General features: G+C 39.0%; 1 protein-coding gene across 26 annotated transcripts in view; it reads right to left on the bottom strand.

The window, feature by feature from the left end:
* The window catches only part of HEPH (hephaestin), a 106193-nt gene continuing 94171 nt past the window's right edge, over nt 285-12306 (bottom strand). For 9 of the 26 annotated variants that reach the window (NM_138737.6, NM_001367232.3, NM_001367233.3 and 6 more), the window contains 4 exons: nt 10169-10308; nt 8886-9048; nt 5460-5504; nt 1759-2708 (listed from right to left, as the gene is read on the bottom strand). In NM_138737.6, the coding sequence (NP_620074.4) occupies nt 2476-2708; nt 5460-5504; nt 8886-9048; nt 10169-10308 (581 nt within the window). In that variant the 3' untranslated portion in view covers nt 1759-2475. Of the gene's footprint in view, nt 2709-5459; nt 5505-8885; nt 9049-10168; nt 10309-10942; nt 11704-12306 lie in introns of all 26 variants that reach the window. The other 17 variants (NR_159801.2, XM_047442695.1, XM_047442694.1 and 14 more) reach the window with 3 other exon arrangements.

The following is a 12306-nucleotide window of genomic DNA, read 5'->3' as shown; positions in this document are numbered from 1 at the left end:
TCAGGTAATGTAATTCCCCCAGTTTTCTTTTTCCTCAGGATAGCTGTGGGTATTCTGTGTCTTTTGTGGTTCTGTATGAATTTTAGGATTTTTTTTTTAATTTCTGTGAGGAATGTCATTAGTATTTTGATAGGGATTGTACTGAATCTATAGATTGCTTTGGGTCAGATGGTTGTGTTTTAAACTTAGGTGGTAGCAATGGAGATGGAAACGAATAGCAATGGAGATAGAAACAAATGAATAGGATAAATACATTTTGGAGATAAAACCGAGACTCACTGATGTGTTGACACTGATAATTTCCAGCTTGAGCAACTGAATAGATGGCAATGTCACTTGATTGTCAAAAATAGATACTTGTATCCCTACTTGGAGCAAACTTACCACAAAAATACATTTCTTTCTTAAATACATGGGCTCTGAGTTTCTATTCCTTGACCTGGAGCAGGATTACAAAATAAGAAGAAATGCATTCCATCTCATCTACCTCTCCTAGTCTCTTAGAGTTATAACTGAGACCAAGCTAAGAACCTCCTAGTTGCATGTAAATTATAACCATTAATTGACTGGAATTCCTAGCATGTACTTGGTCTTCATTAACATTCATGTTAACTGCAGGCCAAAACAGTTCTGCTGCTGTTAAATCATTGATTCTGCAATGGCCTAAACACTAACTCTTGGATAACTAGCCATCTAAATCCCCCTTCCACCCACACTTTATTTCTGAGATTCTCAGTAAAGCTCTCCAGAAACCCATTGACCATGGAAAAACAAGAGGAATCATAGCTTCTGGATTGTGTTTTCTCCTCCAAACTTATATCGTAACTGAACACCAGCTCTGTGAGTTTCTACATTTTATCTTCAAGAGATTGCTACCTAGACAGACAGATTGCTGGACAGACAGAAAAGTTGGAATCAATATGGGTAAGGTGGATGGAGATTAGTGGATGTTTCCATGATATATGAGGATGAAATAGGTATTTGGAGTCAAACAGATGAATACATGAATCCCTGCTCAACTTCTACCTGAGGGATCTTGGATGAAGTTACTTAATGTCCATAAGCTTTTGTTCACTCAAATGTATAAATGGATAACATTACTCAAATGTAAAATGACTTGCCCTGAGGTAATCCAAACGCAATCAAGAATTAAAATGCTTTTTAAAGTGTAAAACAGTACATAGTTATCATCTTTTCTCTCCTTGATACCTCTTCTGTTCTCCACTTGCCATGTGGTACAATATTATGGATATTGCAGTGGGGTGGGCCATCTTACCCAATCTAAAATTTATCACTTATCTGTGCTCTCTAACCAATATTTGGCTCAAATTTGCATGTAACAAAGGAATATTGCTGTAAAATACCAGAAAGAATGACTCCATCCTATAAGGAAGCCCCCAAAGTTGCAACTAGACCTTTCACACCACCACTGCCAAAAAGGCCCCATAAGATATGGTCCTACTTCCCCTGGCCCACTGGACAGGTTTGAGTCTCGTCTCAGACTTCTATTTCCCTCTGGCAAATTTTCTTGACACTCAGAAAATTTTTGTCATTTATGCGACAGCTCCTTTTCTAGGGTGGTACCCAGCACTCTTTGATGCTTCCTCTGGAACAGCTTCCTCATCTCTAAAACAAAAACTTGTAGGTTCTACAAAGGCTAGACAAATACATACTATACTCACTCACCCCCTAAGTATTTTCTGTTTCAATCACAGTGACAGAAGCCACAGAGACTGTCAAAAATCACCAAATTCAGTCTTTCAGTGTTCTAACAAGTACTTTAATGGATAGGGTTTGCTGTCTAAAACATGAAGAGGTAACTCAACATTCCTTTCAGTGCCACAGGTTAAGAACTTGGAGAACTGGCTTTCCTGAGGAGCTTCTAGCTCCAGAGGTTGTACATGCTCATGGCAGCAACAACCCATTGACCACTTCTTCAAAGTAGTTCACTGCCAAGGAGAATCAAAATTCAATTTGGATTCCCAATACTCAGCCTACCTTCAATTTCCCATCAAGCCTATATTCTTAGCCTTTAGTTTAAGTGTGGGTTATCTTAACAGCTCACTTGGCCTCAGTTCAAAGTGAAATTTCCTGAGTCCTTGAAAGAAGTAGAAACCCAATCAATGAGTTTTTCTCTTGGTCTCTACTTTGTGAGAAGGATACATTTCTAGAAATTTCAATACCTTCCAAGTGTCAGAAGGAAATATAATGTAGCTGTTGAAATTTGCGATGTAGGATAATAAGGTACTCCCTTAGTGCCAGGTGCCCACGTAGAGCAAAGAAACTAAAGAAAAAGTGAAATCATATTATTTCCATGTAAAATAAATAAAGAAAGAAATATCCAGATAAGCTTGATTGCTCCTTCTGCTTCTCCACCACCCATGCCCCTTTGAGTGTGGGGTTAGTGACTAGTCCATGGCCTGCTGGGAGTGCACTACAGATGTGCTTCCTGAGGATATCTCCAGGCTCCAGATGTTACTGTTTGAAAGACAGAAGCTTGAAGCTGTCATCCAGGATGGACCTCCTATTGCGTCGTAGCTTTCTCTGTCGATGTTGGTACCAAACCACTCCACCAAGAGCCAGAACAACGAGCAGAAGGGTGACACTAATGGCAACCAAAACAGAGGCCAGCATCTCAACATTCTTTATGGGGATCTGCATGCCCAGCATCTTCACATTGCCTTCTTCAATGTCTCTGGGGGGCACTGCTGAAATGGAGAAAAAAAAAATGGGCATCCTGGGATGGGGAGTACTCTAAAAGGTAACTATCTATAGTCATCACCTGAAAAAAACAAGTCAATCCAAATAGGACAGGAGGCCTGTCCTTATCCTTCACAAAACTAGCTGATGAAGACAGATTTAGAGGTTAGAGAATCAAGAAAACATGATGTAACAGCTATAAGGGTCCTTGAGAATCACTGAGGCCCCAGTCCATTCATGGAAAGAGCTAAGACTCAGATTGGGAAGGCCCTTGATACATGTTCTCAAATATCTAAAGGACTGTGATATAAAAAAAAAAGATGAATTTGACTTGTTCTGTATGGCTTCAGAGGGTAGAATTGGAGGCAATAAGGGAAACTTCAGAAAGAAATTTGACTCAGTCATCCAGCTTATCAATAGCAATTTTGACAATTAAACCATGACAAGAACCTGCTACTAGGCTGTCCAGTCTTACCTCTTTGGGTCATGTTAACGCTGATGTCACATAGACCTTTCCAAGAGAAATATCTGATTGTTAGTTCTTGGCATACACACTTTTGATGATTCCCAATTAGCCTACAGAGAAAAGCTCAGACTTTTAAACCAGACATTCCAACTCTCAGTATCAGGCTCTAATCTATCCTTCTAGTCCTATCTACTAGTTTTCAGCCATAGCAACACATTCTTTCCTCCTCATAAAAAGTGATCCCCTTTCAGGCTTCTAAGACTTTGCTCATGCTAATCCCTTTGTCTGAACACACTTTACTCCTTATCTTTCTAGCCCTACCTTAAATTTTACATGTCTCTGCAAAGTTTTCTTTGATTTCATTAGACAATTGTTCTTTCCTCTATGTTTTCCAAGCGCCTGTACCTTGTACCCCCATAATTAACTTATTGTGTGACCTTGGGCCAAGAGACCTAATCCCTCACTTCCCATCTAAACCTCAGTTTCTTCTTTTATAAAATCAGAATAACAACCATACCTAACACAGAGGCATATTGTAAAATTTAAGTGAATTAATACTTATAAAATATCTAGTATAGCACCTAGCAGACAGGAAGTACCCAATACATGTTAACTGTTATTATTGCTTGCCCTTTTTGTACAGCACACAGCATCCAGCATTATTATTTCTGTGCCTCATTCCATTTATAGACGCTGAAAAATAGCGGCTATGTCTTACTTATTTTGATATCCCTGGTACCTGACACTTGTTTGATGATTGTTCATCAACATCAATCAATGTAATTCAACATAACTGGTTGAATTAATGTTCTAACACAACTGAGAGAAGACAGAATATAATGAGTTCAAATAGAAGCTCAAAACTTTCTGGTTCTGAGTTTACATTCTACCACATACTCCTTTTGTGACATTGAACAAATCATTTTCAATTTCTCAGCTTCTCATGTAGAAAATTATTGAGTTTTATTAGAACAACAGTTTCAAAGGCTTTTTTCCCCATTGTAGAAACTTTTTAACAAATGAGAGCTTATGAGGAATGTATATATGTACACAAAATATGTATGTATATATACAAATATACACACAAAGTATGTGTGAACACAAATATATATATAATATTTAAAATATATAAAATATTTAAATATTTAAAATATATATAAAAATATATATATATAATATATATATAAAATAATTTAGTTGCTCAGGTTGAAAGAGACATGGCCTGAAAGCCCACCCACACAATCACACCTTACCTTTCCCCATCCCCTCCAGGACATATCCTGGTCCCCTGGTTAACAGTTCATGAGATACTTAGGCAGATCATTAAGACTTCTCCAAACAGCTGTAAAACCTCAGACTAAACTACTAATTATCTCTAATGTTCCTTTTAGCTCTCATACCTTTCTGGATCTTTCCTAGTCCAGAGACAAATGAGGTGGAGAATAACAACACTATTTGGACCTGGGCTGCACAGAAAAATAATCTCTACAGTATTCAAGGTCAGAAATGGCTGGTTCCAAAGGTTTAACTCCTTGGTATTCCATAGATGAAAGGGAAAGAGGCAAGAATAAAAATAGCTGTTGAAGAACATATGGTGTTGGAACTAGTCTCATACTGTCCCTAGGGGGGATTCATATTTGTGCTATAACTTTTCCATGTCCAACCCAGCAGGACCTAGATTTAATATATATATATATTTAATATATATATTTTACATATATATATATATATTTCAACAGCTTCAGGAGTACAAGTGGTTTTTGGTTACATGGATGAATTGTGTAGAGGTAAAGTCTGGGATTTTAGGGCACCCATCACCCAAGTAGTGTACGTTGTACTTAATAGGTAGTTTTTTATTCCTCACTGCCCTTCTACTCTCCTTGCTTCTGAGTCTCCAATGTCCATTATGCCATTCTGTATACCTTTGCATATTCATAGCTTAACTCCCACTTATAAGTGAGAACATGCAGTATTTGGTTTTCGACTAGTATCTAGAATTTACTTCCCCCCTCACACATTAGATGAGAGGCTAAGACAGCAGCCTTTAAATGGGGAGGAGGCTGTTTTCCCCAACTCAGGAGGTTTGAGGTGGAAGCCAGAGAGAATAAACCTGCTGAGGGAAGCTAAACCTTGGTTCTTTGGCTTCTGAAGTCTTGCAGAAGTCTCAGGATACTTTCTGCTGATGTATTCTAACTCTCAGTCACATAAGTCCCATACCCTAAAGGTACTTCACCCAACCTCATACACAGACACACTATGTATAAGTACCCAGTCTGTGCATCATTTTACGTACCTTTTTCAGTCTCTTTGGTGATGACGGTGAGAGGGCTTAAGTGTTCTGGTTGGGGGGAAAAAAGACAAGAGGTTAGCCTTATTGTTCTTCCTACCAATCCATAGGCCCCCTATGAAAGGTCAACATTGGTTGCAGAAATTTCTCTGTGATTAAGTAAGCAAAATAAAGGCAGAATTTACTACTTTATAGTCCAAGTCAATATTGGTATGTTGATTTGATTTTGAACAGTGACATGAAATATGGGCAAGAGAACAGGCTTGGAGTCCAAAATGTAAATCACCCCTCTGCTATTATTTAAATATTTCTTGGCACTTCCTCTATCCCCATTATTGCTCTATTTCCAACCATTTGCCACACTTCCTTCAGGAAATCCCTGCTCCTTGTGAAACCTACTTCTCTACACATTCAACATCTTCTCAGAACACTTCTTCCTCTCCTTGATTTAATAAAGCTGAGTTCTTCTCTGAGGACCATACTTCATTTACATCATCTCAATACTTCTTTGAGATCATTGTTCCTCCTCTTTTTGTAAAAACATATCTCTTTTGAGGCTCATATTATTTGGCTAGAACTACAATCATTTCTTGTTATTGTTAGCTAGCAGTTCTCTTCATTTATGGAAGTCTTTAGTACCTGGCTCAGTCTTCCTCTCCCTCAATTCCAACCATGGGTGCTGACCCATCAAATACTCAAGCCTCACAGTTTCTAGCCCTTTTAACTCCAATAACTTTGATGTCTACTCCAATTCTACCAACCACTCCCATGGTCACATTAACCTTGTTATCAAGAATTGTTACATCTCAGAAATCTAAAATCTAACAACAACCTCCCATCCTTTCAGTGCTCTAATACACTTTATTTCAAAAACCTGTTATCCTCCCCTGCCATGAGACCTCTAGCTTTCAAAACCTTCAGTTTTTTTCCTCAACCTAGTAGCTTCATCCTGTCTTTTCTTCCATTCCTGACCAAGTGAGACTCCAAGGTCTATCACTTCAACTACTAATCTACCAAGAGTGTTGCAATAATCTACCAAAACTCCAGTAACTGTAATTACCCTGTATTTTGTCTGGTATGCTTAATTGCTGTTAGAGAAAATAACACAATTGTAAAGATTATTATCCTTTGTGTCCAATTTCAACTAAGCCCTCAATGCTGGCTGGTGATAATTATTTATTTCCCATCCCCCAGAGTGGCTATTTCAAACTTTCATCCACTTTTCTCAAGCCCTGTACCCTATAACCTGCCTTTCATTCTCAGCAGATGACTCTATTTGCTCCATCAGAGAGAAGAGAAAGACCATAGGCTGAAATTATCTGTCAGTCTGTCAAACCCCCTGGTCAAACCTACACATTGATCCTTATATTTTCTGTCTTCTTTCTTCTTAGAGTAGAAAGATGACTTTCCTCCACTCTTGCACTAATCTTTCATGTTAGCTCTGATTCTCATTCCCTGCTGCCTTATCAGAAACCTTGTTCCAAAAATTAGTCTTTTCCCTCTGTCTTTTCAACTCTTCCTTCCTGTTGGCCTGTTAACACACATGGAGTTGAAACAATATGAAATTAGGCCATAGCGGGTTATAAAAAAACAAAAGGGCAAATAGAAAAGATTTATGGGCTGGCTCATTGTCATAGAGAGATATGAGCTATCCTTCCTCATGGAAGTACCCTGGCAATATGTATTGAAATGGTCTCATATATTGGATGGTTCATATTTGGGATAACCCATTACTACATATAGAGAAAACCTGTTGTCTTGGATCTATATCAACCTGATGATGTATCAATTGATCACTTGACTTTTGTTCTATGTACTTACAACACAACAAAGAAGTTTCTGTAAATCTGGGTGCTAGGGAATAGCTCCTGAGTAGTTAAGTGGAAGCTGCATTCTAGCAGTATTAGTTGATAGAGAATAAATATTTTAAATTATATAGGAAGTCATAATGTGCAATCATTCATCTCTCTCTCTAAGGGTAAACAGAAGAGTTGTATTCTCCACCCACATTTGCTAAGTCTGTACGAATATTCAAAGACATTTTCCCCTTCACTATTCTTGTTGATAGAATGCCAATGACTGACAACCCCAGAAAACCATTTTTGTTCAAATGGTGGCTATATATTCTTTAAAAGCATAGAAAAAAAAAAAAAAAACACAGCCTTGATTTGTATGGGTCCCAAAAGGCTCTACAGGGCTTCTTGGAAGGCAAATAGTGTTGGGGATTGGACTCAGGTCAAGAACCTTAAGAAGTAAGACATTTGACCCTTTAATTACTCAAAGACACAAAAGCCAACACAGCCTACCCATCTACATTTTTTGGTGAGGAACAAAGAGTGGCTGGTAAAGAAATTGTCCCAGCTGCTCCCTCTCCATATAAAATATAAAGAAAAAGTTGTTTCCACCCTTGGTAGTAACTCAGATAAGCTGTAACTGAAGGACAATCTCTCTTTCTAGCCTTAGATGAAGATATTCAAAAACCAAAAAGAACTGTCTTGCTAGATGTGGTGGCCCATTCCTGTAATCCCAGCGATTTGGGAGGCTGATGTGGAAGGATGGTTTGAGCCCAGAAATTTGAAACCAGCCTAGGCAAAACCCTGCCTAAAAAATAAAAACTAGGCCAGGTTCAGTGCCTTATGCCTGCAATCCCAGCACTTTGGGAGACCAAGGCGGGAGGATTGCTGCTGCAGAAGGAGGCCAAGAGTTTAGAACCAGCCTGTGCAACATAGGTAGACCCCCTTCTCTACAAAAAGTATAAAAATTAGCCTTATGTGGTGGCACATTCCTGCAGTCCCAGCTACTTGGGAGGCTGATGTGGGAGGACTGCTTGAGTCTAAGAGTCTGAGGCTCCAATGAGCCATGATTGCACCACAGCACTCCAGCCTGGGTGACAGATCAAGACCTTTACTCTAAGAAAAAAAAAAAGAAAAAAAGAAAGAATTGCCTTTCACAACCCCATAGAACAAATCAATTTAATGGGTGACTATTAGAATTATTTTTATTCTCTTTTTAGAAAGACTAATCAGCAATATTCCTTGAAATAATCAGTTACTCTAATGAAGTCAAGTAATACATTTGTATATAAGTTAAATTTATTTCAAAAGAAGCAGGCCTGCACTAGGCTTCAATGCATAGAGCCAAACCGGTTTCAGGCTGGGTCAATTCATGTGAGCTCAACAGGTTTTGAAGTAATTTGGAGAGGGACAGGTGTCAGGGGATTAGAAATATCAGTTGGGGCAATGGAGGGACAGGTGCAATGGAGGATTAGAAATACTGGTTGGGGCAATACCTAGAGGGAGGCTATGCTCTGCCTTAAGACCTGCTTATTGTGGGATCAGAAGGAGACAATCAAGAGGCTTTTTGGTATTACCTGCTTCCTATAGGCTAGATAAAGTGTTAGAAGATGATCATTTTGGGGAAGTTAGGACTTACCTGTTCGAGAAAAAACAGTGAAGAGGGTCTCCATGCCAGCATGGACATGGTCAGTCACATGGCAGTGCATCAGCCATGTCCCAGGGTTGCTGGCCACCATCTCCACAACCTCAAAAGTCCCTGGGAACAGATCCACCACATCTGCCCGGTAGTTCTCGCCATTCTGCAAGAGAGATTGGGAATGAGGGAGAGGAAGTGAAGGGTATAAAAATCATCTTAGAGCTTTCAGGAACCAAAAAATTGTGATGTCCACATTAGGGAGCTGAGACTTCAAGGTTCCTAGACCAGTGAGTGGTTTTAAAAGTCCACTTTACCAAGACCATCCTGGCTAACATGATGAAACCCCGTCTCTACTAAAAAAAATAAAAAATAAAAAAAATAAAAAAAATTGCCGGGCATGGTAGCAGGCGCTTGTAGTCCCAGCTACTCGGGAGGCTGAGGCAGAAGAATGGTGTGAACCCAGAAGCCGTAGCTTGCAGTGAACTGAGATCACACCACTGCACTCCAGCCTGGATGACAGAGTGAGACTCCATCTCAAAAAAAAAAAAAAAGTCCACTTTATTCATATCTCCAATGAACCCACCCACCGAAGCTAAATCAACAGAGGTGACTTTCTCCTCTTAAAATGTCCCAAAGAAAAAGAATTTCTAGGTTACTTTAGAAGGTTCAAAACAAGTATCTTTATAATTTTCAGCAGGCTAAAATATGGGGAATTTGGCTTAAGCTTTGACCCCTATGAATGAGGCATATATTTCCTTTAGAAATTGATTCAAATAAAGTTATCTTTGCCATTGTCTTTTTCAGCACTTCTAAATCTCGAAGTCTGTATCAATGCCCCCAACTCTTCCTCCTTTACCTAAGACTAAACTGTTTTCAAAATCTACATATTGTTCCATGTACCCCCTAAGTTGAAGCTCTTCTTATAATAGATTAAGGACTTTCAGCAATTCTGAGATGCCACTCTGAAATTCCTTGTTCTTAAAAATCACTGCTCATTGAGTCTCAAGTCCTTGACTGAGACTTGATATTGATTCCTTCAGTCTCCTTACTGATAAATGGGCCTTTTTTGTCTTCCACATCAGAAGGGAAAGCTAGGGCCTAGCGGGAAGTTATTGAGTCTAGGATATACAGCCAGACTAGAATTTCCAGCTCAGTGCTCCATGTACTAGACCTCTGCTCTTTAACTAATTGTTACCTGTTCCACACTGTTACCTTTTTTCTCAATTGCTGTTAAACCACTGTTCTAATCATCCTTGAGGGACTCAGCCCATTTTCCAGCTCACCCGATAGAGGAAGCTCTCTGCATGAAAGTGGATGGTGTGTAGATCCACATCTTGGCCCATGGCCAGCATGTACCAGGCCACTCGTTCTCCTTGGTACATGGTAAGACCCCTAAGGTTGGCATAGAGTTTCCCATTGATTGCTGTCAAAAAAAAAGAAAAGAAAAGAAAAGAAAAGAAAAAGCTTCTTACATCTCTCCTTTGGACTTCCCATTTCCACTATCCTAGGCCTAATCTTTTTTACCGAAGATAGCAATGGGCTTCTAATTTGTCTCATCTTTTTTCCATCTGTCCCTCTTCAAGGTATCTTCTTACATTGATATTATCAAAATTATCTCTCTAAGTGACTGAATCTGATGACATCATTCTGCTGCTTAAAATATTTTAATTACTCTCTCCTGCTCCAAAGAGCAAGTCCATGGATCCTTACTTCACCCAACAAGATCCTTCAAAATATAACTCCAAACCACCTTCCTAGACTCATCTCCCACTACCCAACACATTTATTCCAGTTGGGGTGATTTCTTCACCATCCCTCAAATGGTCCATGCATGTTCTTTGTGTCCTTGTGTTTCTAAGATTCCCTACTAGAAATCCTGCCTTCTTTTACCCATTTTTTAAAGTCCAGTCAAATCTTCACTCCCCCAGAAAGACTTTCCTGATCTCCTAGTTCCTCTCCATAACTCTCATTCCCTGCATCCCCTTCCACCTGTGAACTCCTCCAGTACTGTCTGCATGACTCACTGAAACTCATAAGAAATTGTCTTCTACATTTACCTGTCTTTTCATGCGTGAAAGCTTACATCCCCAATTAGACTATAGGTTCCTAATATGCAGGAAAGAATGTATGTATACACTGCATTACTATAGCTTCCTTGTATTTTCTCAGAACACCCAGTAGACAGCTGAGCCTACAATAAATGTTAAAAAAATACCTGCCACATTCATGGAATTAATAACATTAATGCATAGAATTAATAATGATATTAATGCATGGAATTAATAATGATATTAATGCATGGGTCTCTTCCCAGGCCACATCCTATGCTCCAAGGACATCAAACTACTCATTGTTACAATAATTCACACTTCCAGGACTTTTCCCTGGACAATTTTCCCCCACTTCTTATGTTCTTACAGAGAGAAGATAATTTCCACTTTATCACCCAAGAGAGGAAGCAATCATTTATAATCTGTCTCTATGTCTACCTCTACCAAATTGTGGATTTCAGAGAGGAAACTAAACATGATCAACTCAGCCTCTTATTGATCTTTTCTCTCCCTCATCAATCAGGCCACAGAAATGGGCAATAGCCGATTCATTATTTCACTGTGGGGTATGATTCTCCCTCTGCCAAAGAGGTGAGTATTGCTGCCCATCTATGTCAATGACAAGGTGGAAATGTCTATCTGTTGCCAGAGAAGTGTTAGTAAGCCCATTTAGTTGTAGAACTGAAATCAGTTTTTCAATTAGCCTTCTTAGTATTAAGGTTCACATTTGATCTTAAGCATCTCTCTTTCTCAGTTGGTTCAGGAACCTGAAAAGGAAGAGAGGGATGTTATTTATTTACCCCTCAGATGCAAATATCTCCAGGGCTAGCACTCAGAAACTGCTTAACAAATACCTGCTCGATCGATAGGTAGGTAGACTTATACCTGAAGAGTGTGGATAGACACATAAACAAACAGAAGAAAGTAAGCATTAGCCAAACCCCTGCATTAACAGGACCTAACTGTGTCCTCTTTCCCTTTTTATCCTGGACCATTTCTCTGATTTGACAGGCGCTAAAATTTCTGCCTTGTGAAGTCTGTGAATCATCTGTTCTAATGTGAATCATTCATCACTCCATCAAGGTGAAATAGCTAAAATCTGTGGGATAATAATATACGACTTTTTAGTTCCATTAGAATCACTATCAAAGATGCTCCTCATTCTCAGATCAAAGAAATCTTGGGCTAGAAGGAATAGTGAGAGATCACTTCATTCTACTGCACTTATGCTCTCCCCTCTTTCTCTTGTTTTTGAAAAGCTACACAGATCTCTCAAACAAAGGAAGGCTTTGATGCACAATTTCTCTCCAAAATCCATTCAAGTACCAAAAAGTTCTTCCTTGTATCTGACATAAATCCAGTATGCTTCT

Source organism: Homo sapiens, chromosome X (assembly GCF_000001405.40).
Source record: "Homo sapiens chromosome X, GRCh38.p14 Primary Assembly".
NCBI classification, from domain to species: Eukaryota; Metazoa; Chordata; class Mammalia; order Primates; family Hominidae; genus Homo; species Homo sapiens.
This window is presented reverse-complemented; position numbering and strand designations above follow the sequence as displayed.